We start from the raw sequence: 22,747 nt of genomic DNA, 5'->3' as shown, positions 1-22,747 counted from the left end.
TACTACAAGAGAACAATGAGGAAAATCTCCAACACATTGGTCTGGGCAAAGATTTCTTGAGCTATACCCCACAAGCACAGACAACCAAAGCAAAAGTGGACAAATTAGATCACATCAAGTTAAAACACTTTTGCATAATAAATAAAACAATCAACAAAGTGAAGACACAGCCCACAGAATGGGAGAAAATATTTGCAAACTACCCATCTGACACAAGATTAGTAACCAGAATATATAAGGAGCTTGAACATTTCTGTAGAAAAATATTTAATAATCTGATCAAAAAATGGGCAAAACACTCGAATAGATATTTCTCAAAAGAAGATGTATGAATGGCAAATAGGCATATAAAAATGTGCTTAACATTGATCATCAGAGAAATGCAAATTAAAACTACAATGAGATATCATCTCACTTCAGTGAAAATGGCTTATATCCAAATGACAGGCAATAACAAATAAAGAGAATGTGGAGAAAAGGGAGCCCTCATACACTGTTGGTGGGAAGGTAAATTACTACAACCACTATGAGAGAACAGTTTAGAGGTTTCTTGGAAACTAAAAATAGAGCTACCATATGATCCAGCAATCCCATTGCTGGGTGTATACCCTAAAGAAAGGGAATCAGTGTGTCAAAGAGATAACTGCATTCCTATGTTTGTCACAGTACTGCTCACAATAGCCGAGATTTGGAATCAACCTAAGTGTCCATCAACAGACGAATGGATAAAGAAAATGTGGCATATATACACAAAGAAGTTCTATTCAGCCATAAAAAAAGAATGAGATCCAGTCATTTGCAACAACTTAGATGCAACTGGAGATCACTATGTTAAGTGAAATAAGCCAGACACAGAAAGATGAACATTGCTTGTTTTCACTTATTTGTGGGTTCTAAAAATCAAAGAAATTTAACTCATTTCATACCCCCCATTCTCCCACTACCCTTCCCATCCTCTGGTAACTCTACTGTCTATTAGAGAAGTTACTCTCTCATAGTTACAAAAGGCTGGGAAGGGTAGTGGGAGGGTGGGGGTATCTGGGGTGCTTAATGAATGCAAAAAAATAGTTAAAATAAAAGACCTACTATTTGATAGAAAACCAGAGTGATTATAGTCATTAATAATTGAATTGTACCTTTTAAAATAACTAAAAGAGCATAATTATATTGTAACTCAAAGGATAAATGCTTGAGGGGATGGATATTCTATTTTTTGTGATGTGATTTTTACACATTACATGCCTGTATCAACACATCTCATATACTCCATAAATAAGTACACTGACTATGTACCCACAGAAATTAAAAATTAAAGAAAAAAATTAAATGAATTCAAAAACAAAGAGAGTCTCTCTACTGTAAACCTTACAAAAAATAATGTGAAATCCTTACTCCTATATTAGAACAGAATAGAAAACCCATAGATAAAGCCACATACCTATGGCCAACAGATCTTTGGCAAAGTTAACAAAGATATACACTGTGGAAAGGACACCCTATTCAATAAATGGTGCTGGGAAAATTAGCTCGCCATAAACAGAAGAATGAAATTGGGCCCCTAATTCTTACTACATATCAAAATTAACTTAAGATGGATTAAAGACAAATATGAGACCTAAAACCATAAAAATCATAGAAGAAAACCTAGGAAAAATTCTGACATTGGCCTAGGCAAATAATTCATAACTAAGACCTCTAAAACAAATGCAACAATATCCTGTGACAATTGGAACTTTGCCCAGTTTTTAATGGGGTTATTTGTTTTGTCTTATTGACTTGTTTGAGTTCCTTATAAATTCTGGATATTAGCTCTTTTTTGAATGCACAGTTTGCAAATATTTTACTCTATTTTGTAGGTTGTCTGTTTACTCTGTTAATTATTTCTTTGCTGTGCAGAAGCTTTTTAGTTTAATTAAGTCCCATTTGTCTTAAAATGTTTTAGCAAAAATAAGAATCTAGATGTAAATCTTACACTTTTCACAAAAGTTAACTCCAAATTGTTTATAGAACTAAATGTGAAACACAAAACTATAAAACTCTGAGAAGATAACATAGGAGAAAATATAGAAGACCTTGGCAATGGTTTTTCAAATACAACAACAAGTGCACAATCCATGAAAGAACAAATCAATAATCCGAACTTTGTTAAAACAAAAAAAAAGTTTTACTCTGTAAAAGACACTATCAAGGGAGGGAGAAGTCCAGCTAAAAGAGGAATAATAGTTCCAAAAGATACAAGAATATATCTTTATAAGAATAAAACACTGTCATCCAAAATACCCAAAGAACTCTTAAAGCTCAGCAACAAAAAAGTGGACACCCTCAATAGAAACATGGGCAAAAGATTTGAACAGACACCCCACCCATGAAGATAAACAGATGTCAAATAAGCATGAAAACTGTTCAACATTACACATAATTAGGGGCCTGCAAACGAAGACAACAATGACACATACCTTTATAATAATGAACATCTAAGGCACTGATAAAACCAAATGTTGGCAAGGATTTGAAGCAATGGGAACTATTAGTTATTGCTGATATGAATGCAAAATGTCACAGACACTCTGGAAGAGAGTTTGGTGGCTTTTACAAAACTAAAATATGCTTACCATATGATCCAGCAGTTGTGCTCCTTGATATTTGCCAAATGAGTTGAAAACATATGTCCACACAAAACTTGCACAAGGACATTTATAGCATCTTTATTCATTATTGCCAAAATTGGAAGCAACCAAGATATCCTTCACTAGATGAACAGATAAACTGTGGTACATCAATGCAAGGGAATATTATTATATTACTATTTGGTGGTAAGAAGAAATGAGCTTTCAAGCCATGAGACGACATGGAGAAACCTTCTGCATATTAATAAGTGATGGAAACCTGCCTGAAAAGGCTACATACTGTGTGATTCCAACTATATAACAATCTCTTATAGTAAAGGCAAAACCATGGCAACACTAAAGTGAACTGTGGTTCACTTGTTACCAAGGACTTGCATGGAAGGGAGAGAATACGCAGAGCATGGGGGGTTTTTAGGACAGCAAATCTATTCTGTATGATGCTACGATGGTGGATATATGGCATTATACATCAGTCAAATTTATAGAATGTACAACACAAACAGTAAACCCTATGTGAACTTCGAACTTTGGTTGATGATTATGTCTTATTGTTGGCTCACTGACTGTAACTAATGAACCCCACTGATGGGGGTTGTTGATTGTGGGAAAGACTATTTGTAGGTGTGGTGAAGGGGTTTGTGGGAACTGTTGCTCGGAGCCTAAAATTGCTATAAAAATAAATTCTATTAATTAAAAAAAAACCCCGCTCTAATTCACAACCCTATCCAAGCTGAGGTGGGTGTCAATCTGTGACTGTAGAGGGCTTAATTAATGCTAATACACTCTTGATCATTTGGACTTAGGTGGGAATTCTATAGGATAGGGTATTTCACTGAACCACCAAGCAGGAAAACTGGGATTCTAATACAAAATCTTTTACTGGTGCATTGATAATGCTCTAACTCACTGAGTCACCAATTGCTCATTCCTGAAAAACAAAGCAAAATTAAATTAGTAGATCTCAGAGATCCCGTCTGTCTTTAAATTATCTATGTTCCTTTTATTCTATAAAAAGAAAGGTCAAGGCAGGAGCCTCAGCTCAGGAGAAGAAACAAGGAGCAGAGCAAGGGCAACTGTTTCTCAAGGAATAAAATTATTGCTCTAAAGAGAGAAAGTGAACTTATTTTATCCAAATAAACTAGCTTATACCTACGTGAGTGAGGCAGCAAATTACTACTTCCCTTTGCCCTGGATAAAGGGTTCACCAGGACCTGGACTCACTCACCTTTTAAAGGTTATAAAACCAAACACGTCTGACCCACATTTTACTCAACTGGTGCTAGAATTATTAACTAAATTAATGTTTATTTTGAAAGTCACTGATTAGATTAATCCACAAGTATTGAATTTTAGTCAATCTTGGTGGCCCGGTTTAACTGGATGTTTTGCTTAAAAGGAAGGCAGCAAGATGCAGGGGTTATGGTTTCCAGCCCCAGCTTGGTCACTTGCATTCTGTGTGTCCTTAGCTAAAGTACTGAATCTCCATGGTCTAACTTTCTCCTCTCTAAACTGGGAATAATTTTACAGTGGGCAAAGATAATTGAGAGAATAAAAAGAGATGTGATGAGTGTGAAAATTCTCTGTAAATTTGTCATAATGTCTATAAACATAATCGATAAAACATTGTATAACTGGGTCTTAATATTTTCTTAATGAAAGAGCTGGAAATAACTGTACTGGTCAATTTAGAATAAAGGTAATCTTTTCAGAGCATGCCTTTGTATACACACTTTGTTATTAGTGATCTAGTAATGTTCATAAATCCAGTTGTATTTAGATCTTCATGACCATTGACTATCAGTTCCCATTTCAGGTCTGCACATTGCAGTGGTTCTGTGCCCTGGGTCCATTCAGTGATTTCCCTGTGTTCCATCTTCTGTTGAATCCACAACTGTTGTTCTGTGTATAATTTCTCTTCCTTGCTGTGTATGATTACATTCTATTATTTGTAACAATAACAGACCAAAAACAATAGAAGCAGCCATGTCTGGAGGTGACTGGAAGGTGGAGAAGCCATAGATTTTCAAGCCCTGTGCCATAAATTATGTGAGATTGGCCCTTTCCTTAATAGTGCTGAACAACTTTCACTTGTGAGGTGATGCAGAGGGGAGAACTCTAATTTTTATTTCTTCTTTTGAGCGTCTCCGGTCCTCTTATCCTTATAAACAAATAACGGACTTCTATTTAATGTGAAGCCTGTTGCTTTCTGAACAGAGTCAAGGTGGCGTATCTTCAGAGTAACTAATGTCTGGGGTTTGTTTTGTTTTTCTAAAATTGTTCTTGAGCCAGCTGTGGTGTAAGTGGTAATGAACCCCAATGGGTATCAGAAGATCTCTGCTCAAATCCCGGTTTTACCGGCAATGAGCTGTGTGGCACTGACAGGTGTCCTGTTCTCCCAGAGTTTCTTTCCCAATTTGAAAAATAAAAAATGATAATCTTTATACTCCAGTCTCTTTTAATGATGAATATACATTTATATATATACTTTTATATATTTAATATAATATTTAATAGTATAAATATGTATTTATGTTATTATTATGTAATAATGTATGTAACACTCCCTGCTAATTCAGTTTGTCTCTTTGACATGTAAAGTAAATAATCACCTATTATTATAATAATGTAATAATAACACAAATATTATTATGTAATAACATATATATTTATGTATATTGTTTATATACATTTAAATATATATAAATATACATTTATTAGCTAATAATTTGATATATGTATGGTAATTCAACATGTATGAGTTATATTCACTATTTCATGTTTAGGCAGCTGTATTTTAAGTGAACTATACTAAATATTTGAAAGGCTTTTGTTATCAAGGGCTAAGTCTCCTATTTTTTGATATAGCATTACAATGTACATTTTTTATACACAAAATATAGAATACACTGATTTCCCTCAAGGTCATAAATTCCCAACTGGTCATTAATCTGAGAATATTGAATTTTGAGTATATTCTAACATAGAATCATTTACTTCAGTGTTTCTCCATCATCACAGCACATTGGAACAACCAGGGACTTTTAATTAAAAATACCTGGGCTCCAATCCAATACAATTAAACCAGAATCTCCTAGATTGGCACTGGAAAGAAGGAGTAGGACAAAAGAACATTTTATTTCTATCCATGGGCCAAAGTCCACTCAGAAAAAAAGTATAAATTGGATCTAGGTGATTGTTTACTTTACATGTCAAAGAGACACACACTAAATTAGCAGGGAGTGTTATAAAAACTTTGGAGTGCAAGCTCACAGCTGTCTTAATAAGAAGAGAAGGCTTCAATGGAACCTTTTGTGGTCCTGGTGCTGTGTCTCTCTTTTATGCTTCTCTTTTCACTCTGGAGACAGAGCTGTAGGAGAAGGAAGCTCCCTCCTGGCCCCACTCCTCTTCCTATTATTGGAAATATGCTACAGATAGATGTTAAGGACATCTGCAAATCTTTCACCAATGTAAGTCTGCCTTATGTTCCTCCAGCCAATTGCAAAGGGTAAGTTATTTGACTGCTATTTTTAGACAAAATATATTCCTGGAAGCACACTATTATAATAGATCATTGTAAAGCAAAATACTCCCTCTGAACTTCTTTGATGTTTCTTTTGTCTTCCTATTTTTTTTTTTTTTGAGACGGAGTCTCGCTCTATTGCCCAGGCTGGAGTGCAGTGGCACTATCTCCACTCACTGCAAGCTCTGCCTCCCAGGTTCACACCATTCTCCTGCCTCAGCCTCCCCCGAGTAACTGGGACTACAGGTGCCCTCCACCATGCCCGGCTAATTTTTTGTATGTTTTAGTAGAGACAGGGTTTCACCGTGTTAGCCAGAATGGTCTCAGTCTCCTGACCTCATGATCTGCCTGCCTTGGCCTCCCAAAGTGCTGGGATTACATGTGTGAGCCACCGTACCTGGCCTCTTTTGTCTTTCTAAGTCTGTCATTGTCAGAAATAGCGGAGTGAGTTGATGCATTTTGTGAATACAGAAACATTGGGGTCATTGTATTATATAATCATTTAATACAGTGGCAAAAGTTTAAAGTGCTGTTTCTCCTCTTTGTTTCACAGTGTTTTGCTATGATTTTTGACTGAAGGTGAAGGGAAGTGTGTGTGATTAGAAATTTCATCCAATAAGTTCTCTACTATAGTAGTCATGTGTTTTATTCAGAATGGTCATGAAAATTGAACTTCTCTGAAGATTCATTTGATGGCTGATGTGAAATAAATATCTGTGGGTTCAGGGCAAACATAAGTGCATGAAAGAAAGAAGTAATCAGTCAGGGCCCAATAGGTAGTTAACAGAATTCTTTTGGATTCTGAAGAAAGCCACTGTCTGTGGCCAAGGTTGCTGGAGAATGGAAGAAATTGTTCTTCCAGGAGATGCTGAATGTCCTGATTCTAACTTTGTGGTGCTTCATCGTTCCATATTGGTAATACCAGCAGTTACAAACTGGACTGGGCATTAGAATCACCTGGGGTGACACTGTAAATACAGATTTCTAGGGTTCATCACAGGACTGCTGTATCAGAATCCTCATGTTAAGAGCTTTACAAGTGACCCTGAAGTCTTTAGCTGGGTAGTGGCCTCAAGGTGGACATGGGGGATTGATTAATTGCTCAAGCATCAGTTTAAATTAGCAGAGATTCCAGTTTGGAGCTTCTACATATTACCTGTGGGACTCTGAGAATGAATCTGCAATTCTCTGGCCTCAGTTTCTTCATTTTTAAAACAGGTCAAATGAATGTGCTGAATGTGTTGAAGTGAGGATGAACTGTGTGATTTGTGTACCAATTGCCTGGGTCATTGCGTGGCACATCACAGGCCATCTATAAGTGGCAGCTATAACAATCACCATCACATTTATGTACAAAATTCAGAAATATCGAATCTATGTGTGGCAAATATGAACATTAAAAAATACAATGAAAATGTCAGTCTGAATCATACATAGTATTTGGAGCAAATAGCGACTTATTTTGCTGCTATTTGCATTTCCTTTCCCAGTTCTCAAAAGTCTATGGTCCTGTGTTCACCGTGTATTTTGGCATGAATCCCATAGTGGTGTTTCATGGATATGAGGCAGTGAAGGAAGCCCTGATTGATAATGGAGAGGAGTTTTCTGGAAGAGGCAATTCCCCAATATCTCAAAGAATTACTAAAGGACTTGGTAGGTGCACATATTTCTGTGTCAGCTTTGGTAACTGGGGTGAGGGGGATGGAAAACAGAGCCCTAAAAAGCTTCTCAGCAGAGCTTAGCCTATCTGCATGGCTGCCAAGTGTTGCAGCACTTTCTTCCTTGGCTGTGAATTCTCCCAGTTTCTGCCCCTTTTTTTATTAGGAATCATTTCCAGCAATGGAAAGAGATGGAAGGAGATCCGGCGTTTCTCCCTCACAACCTTGCGGAATTTTGGGATGGGGAAGAGGAGCATTGAGGACCGTGTTCAAGAGGAAGCTCACTGCCTTGTGGAGGAGTTGAGAAAAACCAAGGGTGGGTGACTCTACTCTGCGTCATTGACCTTAACAGTTACCTGTCTTCACTAGTGACGTCCTTGGAAACATTTCAGGGGTGGCCAGGTCTTCATTGCGCATCCTGGTTGTCAGCCCTCAGGTGGTGGAGGGAGATTTGAAGCACAGAGACAAGGGAGGTTTTGTGTATCTGTGCTTTGCCTGTATAAATGTGTTGGTTCATAGGGTGTAGGAATAAAAGGTCATTTAATCCTATTTTCTGCTCAATTTTGTTTCCTTGTTTTCAAATCAGAAATTATAAATAAGGGTCTTGAGTTCATTTTTGAAGAGTTAAAGAAGGTTTCCCCCATAGCATAAATCTGCATTACCTCCACCAGAACATTTCACCAGAGAACACTTGGAAAGTGGACATGGTGAAAGTGACCTCATCACACTTCATGAAATATGAACCAAGTTATATGTGCTTTCATTTAATTCGAGTTTTTTCATATGGTCATACTCACATGTCTGGAAATTCCTTCCAGGTCCATGCCTACAGCTCTGGCCAGCAATGACACTATGTATGGTTTTACTTGCTTAGGTATATCTCAGTACAGTTTTCATCAGTTCTTATTTCTCGGGAAACACAGTACTATTTGAAAACTGTCAGGATTAATTATTTCTTGTTAACCACTACTTACTGTAGCAATTAATATATTTTAAGTAAATATAATCTATAGTATAACTCAGCAAATACACAAACACTAATTTGTAAATAATTTGTTTAACTAGATTTTAACTATTATGAAAAACTCTTTATCCTGTCTTCTTTAAATGTAATTTGGCTATGTTTTCAGTTTTGTCATCTTTTTTCCCCTGTATTGGTTCTTAGCTTTGAAATTTGTGCTAATCATTTTTCTCCCACTGCCAATTTACTCACCTATGAAGTGCTTGTTATAATCAATCTGATTATCAGCTGGGATATAAAATTACCTTTTTAAATTCACTCTCCCAAATGCAGTAAAAAAAAAAAAACCTGGATATCAGATTGTACCTGAGAAACACACACACACACACACACACACACACACACACACTCTCTCTCTCTCTCTCTCTCTCTCTCTCTCTCTCACCAAGGCTTCCCAAATTACCTTTCACCCCCTTGGCTAAAACAACAGTTTTTCTGAAACTTTAGAGCCCTGTAATGTTTAAAGGAGTCTGGCATAGAAGCAGCTAACTCAGCAGGTTTCTTGTTGTTCAATGTTCCAACTTTATTCACAACCCTTTCATTTCGTGTCACTCTTATTTAGGACCTATAGATGTGAATTTGGGCACCCTTTCCATTTATGTTCACTAGTCACTTGGTTACAGCAATTTCATTTTAGAGATTCCTTCACCGAATAAAAGCCTTTTTAATAATTTCTTTACCTGTAAAATTACAGATTTGGCCTAACTTATGGTCAAATTTAAAACTTTATTAAAACATACTTATCTTGATGACTATACTGAATAATATCCCAGAATCCACAAGAGTAGTTTTGCCCAAATGAATTAAATTTGGAAGATGATTGGAAATGATAAACATTATTTCCAAAGGAAGGAAATTCATTTTTTACAAATTGAAAAAATAAATAAAAAGATTCCATTTATCAATTTACTTTTTGGTTAGCTTTACTGGGATTTAGATTTGAAATAAAAAGTTAGCATTTTACTTATTTAGATAAACAAATCTGTTATACTTAATGCTCATTTATATTAGTTTTTCTTCTCATATCATATGGATGTACTTGCTTTTCACATTTGTTCCCTAAAACACATGAATTCACCCACAATCTCCCTAACTTTATTCCCATTGGTTCAGCACATTATACTTTCAGCTATATGACATTTCTAGGTCCCCAACTTTTCTCTTCCTATCTCTGTGTTTTATTGTCCAGAGGCTTTGCAAACAGACATGATTCTGCTCTAAAAACTTGAATTATTAGGATTTCAAAAAAGTCTTCTTTTTCCTTCCAAAATAAAAGACACTTGGGGTTAAAAGAGTTTAAATAAAGGCAGTGGATGTGAATAACCACATGCGAAATGACATTGTTTAGCTAGCCTGTAATGCTCAACTCATATTTAAGGTAAAAGTAATGTGTTTATTTCATCCATGCTGATTTTTTTTGGACACATGGGGAATTTGTAAGATATTGTTTAAAATTTCTAAATTTCCTTTATGTCTTAACAAATGCAAATCTTTTAAATATTTATTTTTTAATAATTTTTTTAAAAATTTTTAAATCTTTAGCTTCACCCTGTGATCCCACTTTCATCCTGGGCTGTGCTCCCTGCAATGTGATCTGCTCCGTTGTTTTCCAGAAACGATTTGATTATAAAGATCAGAATTTTCTCACCCTGATGAAAAGATTCAATGAAAACTTCAGGATTCTGAACTCCCCATGGATCCAGGTAAGGCCAAGATTTTATTTTCCTTGGAAACCATTTATTCAAGGTTGTAGGGAAGACTTGGTTTAAAAATGAGAAAATTGATACTAAAATGCTTTTATACAATAAAAATGATGTATGAGTGAAGAAAATAATTACCACCTTTGATTTCCTGTTCAAAATTTTCAGCCTCCAATCTTTAGGTACAGAAAATTGCTATATGTGCACAATAAAAATTTCCCCATCAGAAGTGCAAGGGGTCAGGGAATTCCCTTTCCTAGCCAAGCAAAGCTGTGAACAGATGGCACCTGGAAAATTGGGTCACTCCCACCCTAATACTGTGCTTTTCTAGTGGTCTTAGTAAATGGCACACCAGGAGATTATATCCTGCACCTGGCTTGGAGGGTCCCATGCCCACGAAGCCTCACTCATTGCCAGCACAGCAGTCTGAGATCCAACTGCAAGGCAGCAGCGAGGCTGGGGGAGGGGTGTCCACCATTGCTGAGGCTTGAGTAGGTAAACAAAACCACCAGGAAGCTCGATCTGGGTGGAGCCTACTGCAGCTCAAGGAGGCCTGCCTGCCTCTGTAGAATCCACTTCTCGGGGCAGGGCATAGCTGAACAAAAGGCAGCAGAAACCTCTGCACACTTAAATGTCCCTGTCTGACAGCTTTAAAGAGAGTAGTGGTTCTCCCAGCATGGAGTATGAGATCTGAGAATGGACAGACGGTCTCCTCAAGTGGGTCCCTGACCCCTGAATAGCCTAACTGGGAGGCACCCCCTAGTAGGGGCAGACTGACACCTCACAGGGCTGGGTACCCCTCTGAGACAAAACTTCCAGAGGAACGATCGGGCAGCAACATTTGCTGTTCAGCAATATTTGCTGTTCTGCAGCCTCTGCTGCTGATACCCAGGCAAACAGGGTCTGGAGTGGACCTCCAGCAGACTCGCGGCTGAGGATCCTGACTGTTAGAAGGAAATCTAACAAACAGAAAGGACATCCACACCAAAACCCCATCTGTACATCACCATCATCAAAGACCAAAGGTAGATAAAAGCACAAAGATGGGGGAAAAACACAACAGAAAAACTGAAAATTCTAAAAATCAGAGTGCCTCTCCTCCTCCAAAGGAATGCAGCTCCTCACCAGCAACGGAACAAAGCTGGATGGGGAATGACTTTGACGAGCTGAGAGAAGAAGGCTTCAGATGATCAAATTTCTCCAACCTAAAGGAGGAAGCTCAAACCCATCGCAAAGAAGTTAAAAACCTTAAAAAAAGATTAGATGAATGGCTAACTAGAATAACCAATGCAGAGAAGTCCTTAAAGGACCTGATGGAGCTGAAAACCATGGCAGGAGAACTACGTGACACATGCACAAGCTTCAGTAGTTGATTCAATCAAATGGAAGAAAGGGTATCAGTGATTGAAGATCAAACAAATGAAATGAAGCGAGAAGAGAAGTTTGGAGAAAAAAGAATAAAAAGAAATGCACAAAGCCTCCAAGAAATATGGGACTATGTGAAAAGACCAAATCTACGTCTGATTGGTGTATCTGAAAGTGACGGGGAGAATGGAACTGAGTTGGAAAACACTCTGCAGGGTATTATCCAGGAGAACTTCCCCAACCTAGGAAGGCAGGCTAACATTCAAATTCAGGAAATACAGAGAACGCCACAAAGATACTCCTTGAGAAGAGCAACTCCAAGACACATAATTGTCAGATTCACCAAAGTTGAAATGAAGGAAAAAATGTTAAGGGTAGCCATTGAGAAAGGGCGGGTTACCCACAAAGGGAAGCCCATCAGACTAACAGCGGATCTCTCGGCAGAAACTCTACAAGCCAGAAGAGAGTGGTGGCCAATATTCAACATTCTTAAAGAAAAGAATTTTCAACCCAGAATTTCATATCCAGCCAAACTAAGCTTCATAAGTGAAGGAGAAATAAAATCCTTTACATACAAGCAAATGCTGAGAGATTTTGTCACTACCAGGCCTGCCCTAAAAGAGCTCCTGAAGGAAGCACTAAACATGGAAAGGAACAACCGGTACCAGCCACTGCAAAAACATCAGATTGTAAAGACCATCAAGGCTCGGAAGAAACTGCATCAACTAACGAGCAAAATAACCAGCTAACATCATAATGACAGGATCAAATTCAAGCATAACAATATTAACCTTAAATGTAAATGGGTTAAACGCTCCAATTAAAAGACACAGACTGGGAAACTGGATAAAGAGTCAAGACCCATCAGTGTGCTGTATTGAGGAAACCCATCTCATGTGCAGAGACGCACATAGGCTCAAAATAAAGGGAAGGAGGAAGATCTATCAAGCAAATGGAAAACAAAAAAAGGCAGGGGTTGCAATCCTAATCTCTGATAAAACAGACTTTAAACCAACAAAGATTAAAAGAGACAAAGAAGGCCATTACATAATGGTAAAGGGATCAATTCAATAAGAAGAGCTAACTATCCTAAATATATATGCACCCAATACAGGAGCACCCAGACTCATCAAGCAAGTCCTTAGAGACCTATAAAGAGACTTAGACTCCCACACAACAATAATGGGAGACTTTAACACCCCACTGTCAACATTAGACAGATCAACGAGACAGAAAGTTAACAAGGATATCCAGGAATTGAACTCAGCTCTGCACCAAGCGGACCTAATAGACATCTACAGAACTCTCCACCCCTAATCAACAGAATATACATTCTTCTCAGCACCACACCACACTTATTCCAAAATTGACCACATAGTTGGAAGTAAAGCACTCCTCAGCAGATGTAAAAGAACAGAAATTACAACAAATTGTCTCTCAGACCACAGCGCAATCAAACTAGAACTCAGGATTAAGAAACTCACTCAAAACCACTCAACTACATGGACACTGAACAACCTGCTCCTGAATGACTACTGGGTACCTAAAGAAATGAAGGCAGAAATAAAGATGTTCTTTGAAACCAATGAGAACAAAGACACAACATACCAGAATCTCTGGGACACATTTAATGCAGTGTGTAGAGGGAAATTTATAGCACTAAATACCCACAAGAGAAAGCAGGAAAGATCTAAAATTGACACCCTAACATCACAATTGAAAGAACTAGAGAAGCAAGAACAAACACATTCAAAAGCTAGCAGAAGGCAAGAAATAACTAAGATCAGAGCAGAACTGAAGGAAATAGAGACACAAAAAACCCTTCAAAAAATCAATGAATCCAGGAGCTAGTTTTTTGAAGATCAACAAAATTGATAGACCATTAGGAAGACTAATAAAGAAGAAAAGAGAGAAAACTCAAATAGATACAATAAAAAATGATAAAGGGGATATCACAACCGATCCCACAGAAATACAAATTACCATCAGAGCATACTATAAACACCTCTACACAAGTAAATTAGAAAATCTAGAAGAAATGGATAAATTTCTCCACACATACACCCTCCCAAGACTAAACCAGGAAGAAGTTGAATCTCTGAATAGACCAATAACAGGCTCTGAAATTGAGGCAATAATTAACAGCTTACCAACCAAAAAAAGTCCAGGACCAGGTGGATTCACAGCCAAATTCTATCAGAGGTACAAGGAGGAGCTGGTACCATTCCTTCTGAAATTATTCCAATCAATAGAAAAAGAGGGAATCCTCCCTAACTCATTTTATGAGGCCAGCATCATCCTGATAACAAAGCCTGGCAGAGACACAACAAAAAACGAGAATTTTAGACCAATATCCCTGATGAACATCAATGCAAGAATCCTCAATAAATTACGGCAAACTGAATCCAGCAGCACATAAAAAGCTTATCCACCACGATCAAGTGGGCATCATCCCTGGGATGCAAGGCTGGTTCAATATACGCAAATCAGTAAATGTAATCCAGCATATAAACAGAACCAAGACAAAAACCACATGATTATCTCAATAGATGCAGAAAAGGCCTTTTAAAAAATTCAACAGCACTTCAGTCTAAAAACACTCAATAAATTAGGTATTGATGGGACGTATCTAAAAATAATAAGAGCTATTTATGACAAACCCACAGCCAGTATCATACTGAATGGGCAAAAACTGGAAGCATTCCCTTTGAAAACTGGCACAAGACAGGGATGCCCTCTCTCACCACTCCTATTCAACATAGTGTTGGAGGTTCTGGCCAAGGCAATCAGGCAGGGGAAAGAAATAAAAGGTATTCAGTTAGAAAAAGAGGAACTCAAATTGTCCCTGTTTGCAGATGACATGACTGTATATCTAGAAAACCCCATCATCTCAGCCCAAAATCTCCTTAAGCTGATAAGCAACTTCAGCAATGTCTCGGGATACAAAATCAATGTGCAAAAATCACAAACATTCCTCTACACCAATAACAGACAAACAGAGAGCCAAATCATGAGTGAACTTCCATTCACAATTGCTTCAAAGAGAATAAAATACCTAGGAATCCAACTTACAAGGGACGTGAAGGACCTCTTCAAGGAGAACTACAAACAACTGCTCAACAAAATAAAAGAGGCTACAAACAAATGGAAGAACATTCCATGCTCATGGGTAGGAAAAATCAATATCATGAAAATGGCCATACTGCCCAAGGTAATTTATAGATTCAATGCCATCCCCATCAAGCACCAATGACTTTCTTCACAGAATTGGAAAAAACTACTTTAAAGTTCATATGGAACCAAAAAAGAGCCCGCATTGTCAAGTCAATCCTAAGCCAAAAGAACAAAGCTGGAGGCATCAGGCTACCTGACTTCAAACTATTCTACAAGGCTGCATTAACCAAAACAGCTTGGTACTGGTACCAAAACAGAGATATAGACCAATGGAACAAAACAGAGCCCTCAGAAATAATACCACAGATCTACAACTATCTGATCTTTGACAAACCTGACAAAAACAAGAAATGGGGAAAGGATTCCCTATTCAACAAATGTTGCTGGGAAAACTGGCTAGCCACATGTAGAAAGCTGAAACTGGATCCCTTCCTTACACCTTATACAAAAATTAATTCAAGATGGATCAAAGACTTAAATGTTAGACCTAAAACCATAAAAATTCTAGAAGAAAACCTAGGCAATACCATTCAGGACATAGGCATGGGCAAGGACTTCATGTCTAAAACACCAAAAGCAATGGCAACAAAAGCCAAAATTGACAAATGGGACCTAATAAAACTAAAGAGCTTCTGCAAAGCAAAAGAAACTACCATCAGAGTGAATAGGCATCCTACAGAATGGGAGAAAAATTTTGCTATCTACTCATCTGACAAAGGGCTAATATCCAGAATCTACAATGAACTCAAACAAATTTACAAGAAAAAAACCAAACAACCCCATCAACAAGTGGGCAAAGGATACGAACAGACACTTCTCAAAAGGACATTTATGCAGCCAAAAAACACATGAAAAAATGCTCATCATCACTGGCCATCAGAGAAATGCAAATCAAAACCACAATGAGATACCATTTCACACCAGTTAGAATGGCAATCATTAAAAAGTCAGGAAACAACAGGTTCTGGAGAGGATGTGGAGAAATAGGAGCACTTTTACACTGTTGGTGGGACTGTAAACTAGTTCAACCATTATGAAAGACAGTGTGGTGATTCCTCAGGGATCTAGAACTAGAAATACCATTTGACCCAGCCATCCCATTACTGGGTATATACCCTAAGGATTATAAGTCATGCTGCTTTAAAGACACATGCACACGTATGTTTATTGTGGCACTATTCACAATAGCAAAGACTTGGAACCAAGCCAAATGTGCAACAATGATAGACTGGATTAAGAAAATGTGGCACATAGACACCATGGAATCTATGCAGCCATAAAAAAGGATGAGTTCATGTTCTTTGTAGGGACATGGATGAAGCTAGAAACCATCGTTCTCAGCATACTATCACAAGGACAAAAAAACCAAACACTGCATATTCTCATTCATAGGTGGGAATTGAACAATGAGAACACTTGAACACAGGAAGGGGAACATTACACACTGGGGTCTGTTGTGTGGTGGGGGGAGGGGGAAGGGATAGCATTGGGAGATATACCTAATGTATATGACGAGTTATTGGGTGCAGTACACCAACCTGGCACATGTATACATATGTGACAAACCTGCACTTTGTGCACATATACCCTAGAACTTAAAGTGTAATAAAAAATGTATATATGTATAAAAATTTCCCTTCAAAATGGACATGATGTCTTATTCATATTTATAGTTATAATTTCAATCAGGGCTTGGTGTAAGATACATATATCTTATGACATGTTTATATTTAATATTCTTTTCTCTTTTAGGTCTGCAATAATTTCCCTCTACTCATTGATTGTTTCCCAGGAACTCACAACAAAGTGCTTAAAAATGTTGCTCTTACACGAAGTTACATTAGGGAGAAAGTAAAAGAACACCAAGCATCACTGGATGTTAACAATCCTCGGGACTTTATCGATTGCTTCCTGATCAAAATGGAGCAGGTAAGATATTAGCAACAGATCAGTATTTTGATTTCTTGTCCATTTTGTGATTCATCGAATCCTTCTGTAATTTACTAAGGATGTTTAAATGATCAGGCCAGTAATGCTTGACAAGCATCTTAATTACTTATTGTATTTATGGGCCTGCACTAAACATCATGGAAAATACAAAATTGTCCAATGGCTAGAATGCATAGACCCTCTTCTTGAAATAAAAATAATCTACATGAGTAGAATAATATAGACACTGCAGTCAAATGGAAACAATTATAAATAAGTAGAAAATACAAAATATCCTACCACAAACTGAAGATGAATATCAATATTGCACATAGATTATGTGACAATGGAAAAGAATGGCTTATCATAAATGGGCTTCCTGTATGCCCTGCACATTGACATAGCCCTTAATATATTTTCAGTGTGGAACAGAAGAAAGGTTTCAGATGGAATGAGTAGTTTGTGGAGAGGTGAGTGGTGGGAAAGAGTTGGTGGATGGAAGAGAGAAGGTTTAATTTAGTGTAACCTAAAATGAATTTGCACAAAGGAGTTGGAGGTTGATGTTTATCAGGTAACCTGTGAGAGTGAATCCTGTTTTCATTGAACTATTTATTGAAAAAGTATATTTTTTCCTATTGAATTGTCTTGACAACCTCATTAAAAACCAGTTGAGTATAAATGTGAGGATTTGTTTGTGGGCTCTCAATTCTACTCCATTGGTCTGTCTGTCCTTATGTCAGTAGTACCTCATTTTGAAGTCTTAATTACTGTAGTTTTGTGTCAAGTTTTCAAATCAAAAAGTATGAGTCCTCAAAGCTTTTTTCAAGACTATTTGGGCTTTTTTGTGTTCATTCAGTCGCAACAAAAATTTAAGAATAAACTTGTCAATTTCTGCAAACAAGCCCATAGGAATTTTAAGATTGCATTAAATCTATAGATTAATTCAGAAAATTATGACATTTTAAATATTGAGATGAAATTCATATACCATATATCACCCAATTTAAAGTGTACACTTTAATGGTATTTTGTTTAATTACAATACTGTGCAACTGAGGTAGGAGGTGGGAGTCAACTCCAGAGGTGGGTCTTGGACATGGGACCAGATTGATGGCTAGCTAAAACAGGGCCAGGATGAAAGCAGCTTTCAATCATTCCTGCCCACCAGTATGCCGTGTCAATTTACTATTCCCATGGCAACACCCAGGAGTTACCTCCCCTTTCCATGGCACCCAATGATCCAAAAGATAGGACCCCTTCCTTGCACAAACTGTCCCTTAATATGCATGCAATTAAAAGTGGGTATAAAAATGACCACAAAACTGCCCTGAGCTTCTACTCTCTGCCTATATCATAGCCCTGCTCTGCAGGAGCCCTCGCAGAGCTGTACCACTGCCTGTTCAACAAAGCTGTTTTCTTCTACCTCTGAGTTGCCTTTGAATTCTTTTCTGGGCAAAGCCAGGAACCCTCCCAGGCTAAGCTCCACATTGGGACTCGCCTGCCCTGCATCACAACTACCATTCCTCTCTACTTTCAAAACTTTTTTATCACTCCACAGAAACATACTATATCATTAAATAGTTACACCTCATTCCCAACTCCATCATGTAGTAAACATTAATCAACTATCTTTATGGATTTGCCTATAATGAGTATAACATTTGACCCATGGCATATGTGATCTTTTTTCCTGGCTTCTTTCACTTAGCATAATGATATGGAGGGTCAACTAAGATTTAGCATGTGATAGTACTTTGTTGTTTTGTGTGGTTCAATAATATTCCATTTTCATGTACACATATGACAATTTGCTTATCATTCATCTGTTGATGATCATTTGTGTTATTTTCACCTTTTGGCTCTTATAAATAATGTTGCTATGAACATTTGTATACAAGTTACTTCATGAATATATTTTCATTTTTCCAGGGTATAGTCCTAGGAGTGTTATTTCTGGGTCATATGGTAATTTTATGTTTAACTTTTTGAGAAACAACTAAACATTTCTACAGTAAATGCACCATTTTAAAATCCCATCAGCAATGTTTGAGGGTTCCTCTTTTCCATATTATAGCCAATATTTGTAATTTTCTGTTTTTTGTGTCAGTGCAAAGTGGTATTTCATTGTGGTTTTGACTTGACCTATGATATTAATTAGCTTTTTACCATTTTTACATGTTCTTTAGAGAAATGTTATTCAAGGCCCTTGTTCATTTTTATTTTATTTTATTTATTTATTTTGGAGACAAGGCCTCTCTGTGTTGCTCAGGTTGGAGTACAGTGCTGTCATCTTGGCTCACTGCAACCTCTGACTCTTGGTCTCAAGTGATTCTCCTACCTCAGCCTCCCAAGTAGCTAGGAGCACAGGCACAAACCCCCACACCCAGCTAATTTTTGTATTTTTTTTGTACAAACTTGGTTTCACCATGTTTCCTAGGCTGGTCTCAAACTCCTGAGCTCAAGCAGTCCACCCATGTTGGCCCTCCCAAAGCACTGGGATTGCAGTTGTGAGGCACCACACCTGGCCCTTTGCTTATTTCTATACTGGGTTGCTTGTCATTTGTTGTTGAACTGTAGGTAATTGTTTATGGATTCTGGGCATTAAACCCTTACTAAATACGTATGAAATACAAATATTTTCTCCCATTCTACAGGTTGTCATTTCACATTTTTAATTTTGTCCTTTGATGAACAAACATTTTAATTTGGTGAGGCCCAGTTTATCTCTCTTATTTTAGTTGTTTTGGTGTCAAATCTATGCATCCACTTCCAATTCTGAAGGCATTAATATTTAACCGATGTTTTATTCTAAGAATTGTATAGTTTTAGTTCACATTTAAGTTTTTCGTTCACTTTCAGTTATATTTTGCATAAGAGTGAGATAGGGGTTCAACTTCATTCTTTTGTATGTGGCTACCCAGTTGTCCCAGCACTGTTTGTTGAAGAAACGCTTCCTTTATTTATTTATTTTTTTTTGAAACTCTTCCTTTAGATTAAATGATCTTGGTACATTTGTTGAAAATGAACCGGGCATAGATGATTAGGTTTATGTTTGGATTTCAATTTTATTCCACTGGTCTTTATTTCTTTCCTTTTGCCAGTACCATGCTGTTTTGACTACTATAGTTTTGTTTTGAAGTCTGGAAATTTGGAAATTGAGTCCTCTCCCTGTAGTTGCATATAAATTCAGGATTGGCTTTTCCATTTTTGCACAAATAAAAATTTTAAAAAGGACATTGGAATTGTGACAGTGATTACATTCAATCTTTAGATTACTTTTGGAAGCATTGCCATCTTAACAATTTTAAGTCTTTCATTATTATTATTATTATACTTTAAGTTTTAGGGTACATGTGCACAATGTGCACATTTGTTACATATGTATACGTGTGCCATTTCAATCCTTTAAAATGACATGGTTTGCCATTTATTTAGATACTCCTTATTTTTCTAAGCAACATTTCATAGTTTTCAGTCTTTTATCTTCTTGATTATAGGTTCTCAGGGCTTTTGGCCCTTTTGATGCTATTGCAAATGTAACTATTTCCTTGATTTTATTTTCATATTGCTCATTGCTGATATAAACAGACACAACTGATATCTGGACCAATCTTACATCCTAAAATTAAGCTGAAAACATTTATCAGCTCTAGTTGTTTTTTGTGGGTTATATGGACTTTTCTTTATATATAATTGTGTTATCTTAAAATAGAAATAGTTTTACGTCTTCCTTTCTTACCTAAATGCCTTTTATTTCTCTTTCTTGTCTAATTGTTTTGGCTAGGACCTTAAGTGCTATGCTGAATAGCAGTAGTGAAATTGGATATACTTGGATCTTTTCCCCCTGATTTTGGGGTATAAGCTTTTAGATTTTCACAATTTGATATAAAATACCTTTGGAATTTTTATAAATACATTTTCTCATAAGAAATTTCCCTTCTATTCATATCTTTGAGTGATTTTATCAGGAAAAGTATTGAATTTTGTCTTATGCTTTCTCAGCTTCTATTCAGATGGTCTATCTTGTTAGATTTTTCCTTTCTTTCTAATATGGTGGTGTATTACATTGATTGATTTTCTTATTGAAGCACTCTTGCACTCCTCATATAGATCCCATTTAGTTATGGCACATAATCCTTAATTTTTTTTAAAAAAATCCATAATATACAAGTTGCTACATTATTTCTCTTTCTTGTCTAATTGTTTTGGCTGGGACCTTAAGAACGATGCTGAATAGCAGTAGTAAAAGTAGATATACTTGGGTTTTTTTACCCCCTGATTTTAGGGCATAAGCTTTTAGATTTTCACAATTTGATATAAAACATCTTTGGAATTTTTATAAATACATTTTATTATGATAAGGAATTTTCCCTTCTATTCATATTTTTGAGTGATTTTTTATATTATACTTTAGGTTCTGGGATACATGTGCAGAATGTGCAGGTTTGTTACATAGGTATACATGTGCCATGGTGGTTTGCTGCACCCATCAACCTGTCATCTAGGTTTTAAGCCCCGCATGAATTAAGTATTTGTCCCAGTGCTCTCCCTCCCCTTGCTCCCCACCCCCCAACAGGCCCTGGTGTGTCATGTTTCCCTCCCTGTGTCCATGTGTTCTCATTGTTCAACTCCCACTTTTGAGTGAGAACATGCAGTGTTTGGTTTTCTGTTCCTGTGTTAGTTTGCTGAGAACGATGTTTCCAGCTTCATCCATGTCCCTGAAAAGGACATGAATTCATTCTTTTTTATGGCTGCATAGTACTCCATGGTGCATATGTGCCATATTTTCTTTATCTAGTCTATCACTGATGGGCATTTGGGTTGGTTCCAAGTCTTTGCTATTGTAAATAGTGCTGCAATAAACACACTTGTACATGTGTCTTTAGAGTAGAATGATTTATAATCCTTTGAGTATATACACAGTAATGGGATTGCTGGGTCAAATGGTATTTCTGGTTTTAGATTCTTGAGGAATTGCCACACTGTCTTCCACAATGACTGAAGTAATTTACACTCCCACCAACAGTGTAAAAGTGTTTCTATTTCTCTGCATCATCGCCAGCATCTGTTGTTTCCTGACTTTTTAATGATCACCATTCTAACTGGTGTGAGATGGTATCTCATTGTTAATTTTATGTGTGGATATTGTAAATGGGATTACTTTTTAAAATTATTTTTTAAATTGTTCGCTGTAGGAATATAGAAATACTACCGATTTTTGTATATTATTTTGTATCTTGCAACTTTACGGAATTTGTTTATTATTTCTCATAGTTTTTTAGTGGAGTCTTTATGTTTTTTTAAATATAAGATTATATTCTCTGCAAATGAGTATAATTTGACTTCTTCCATTCTAATTGGGATCCCCTTTGTATCTTTCTCTGATTGCTCTAGCTAGGTATTCCAGTACAATGTTGAATAACAGTGGTGAAAGTAAGCATCCTTGTTGTTTTCCAGACCTTAGAGGAAAGGCTTTTAGTTTTTCCCTATTTAGTATGTTACTAGCTGTTGGTCTTTTGTAGATAGCTTTTACTATGGTGAGGTATGTTCCTTCTATACCCTGTTTTTTTTAGGGCTTTTACCATGAAGGGGTGTTGAATTTTATCGAATAATTTTTCAGTATCAATTGAAGTGACCATATGCTTTCGTTCTTTATTCTGTTGATATGATGTACCACATCAATTAATTGGCATATGTTAAAGCACCCTTGCATACAGGGATAAATCCCACTTGGTTGTGATGAGTGAGCTCTT

At 36.8% G+C, this 22,747-nt stretch overlaps 1 protein-coding gene across 4 annotated transcripts in view, besides 9 other annotated features; it reads left to right on the top strand.

Moving 5' to 3' along the window:
- Positions 2,960–5,927: a promoter, noted in NCBI's record as "-3 kb promoter fragment". NCBI's record gives the evidence for it as "EXISTENCE:reporter gene assay evidence [ECO:0000049][PMID:15933212]".
- Positions 3,129–3,149: a protein binding site, noted in NCBI's record as "-2796 site". NCBI's record gives the evidence for it as "EXISTENCE:protein binding evidence [ECO:0000024][PMID:15933212]".
- Positions 3,129–3,149: a protein binding site, noted in NCBI's record as "-2796 site". NCBI's record gives the evidence for it as "EXISTENCE:protein binding evidence [ECO:0000024][PMID:15933212]".
- Positions 3,636–3,653: a protein binding site, noted in NCBI's record as "-2289 RORE". NCBI's record gives the evidence for it as "EXISTENCE:protein binding evidence [ECO:0000024][PMID:19164466]".
- Positions 3,796–3,826: a protein binding site, noted in NCBI's record as "DR1-B". NCBI's record gives its function as "positive regulation of promoter activity" and the evidence as "EXISTENCE:protein binding evidence [ECO:0000024][PMID:26467040]".
- Positions 3,879–3,896: a protein binding site, noted in NCBI's record as "-2045 RORE". NCBI's record gives its function as "positive regulation of promoter activity" and the evidence as "EXISTENCE:protein binding evidence [ECO:0000024][PMID:19164466]".
- Positions 3,997–4,017: a transcriptional cis regulatory region, noted in NCBI's record as "GRE". NCBI's record gives its function as "necessary for induction by glucocorticoids" and the evidence as "EXISTENCE:site-directed mutagenesis evidence [ECO:0005528][PMID:15933212]".
- Positions 5,742–5,761: a protein binding site, noted in NCBI's record as "-181 HRE". NCBI's record gives its function as "positive regulation of promoter activity" and the evidence as "EXISTENCE:protein binding evidence [ECO:0000024][PMID:20086032]".
- Positions 5,772–5,790: a protein binding site, noted in NCBI's record as "-154 HRE". NCBI's record gives its function as "positive regulation of promoter activity" and the evidence as "EXISTENCE:protein binding evidence [ECO:0000024][PMID:15933212]".
- Positions 5,832–22,747, top strand: part of CYP2C8 (cytochrome P450 family 2 subfamily C member 8) — a 32,726-nt gene continuing 15,810 nt past the window's right edge. The window contains exons 1-6 of one of the 4 annotated variants that reach the window (NM_001198855.1): positions 5,832–6,132; positions 6,701–6,762; positions 7,638–7,800; positions 7,972–8,121; positions 10,369–10,529; positions 16,818–16,994. In NM_001198855.1, coding sequence (NP_001185784.1) covers positions 7,680–7,800; positions 7,972–8,121; positions 10,369–10,529; positions 16,818–16,994 — 609 coding nt within the window. In that variant the 5' untranslated portion in view covers positions 5,832–6,132; positions 6,701–6,762; positions 7,638–7,679. The remainder of the gene's footprint in view (positions 6,133–6,700; positions 6,763–7,637; positions 7,801–7,971; positions 8,122–10,368; positions 10,530–16,817; positions 16,995–22,747) is intronic. The other 3 variants (NM_000770.3, NM_001198853.1, NM_001198854.1) reach the window with 3 other exon arrangements.

Source organism: Homo sapiens, chromosome 10 (assembly GCF_000001405.40).
Source record: "Homo sapiens chromosome 10, GRCh38.p14 Primary Assembly".
NCBI lineage: Eukaryota > Metazoa > Chordata > Mammalia > Primates > Hominidae > Homo > Homo sapiens.
The sequence above is the reverse complement of the archived record's forward strand: the minus strand, read 5'-3'. Positions and strand labels throughout refer to the sequence as shown.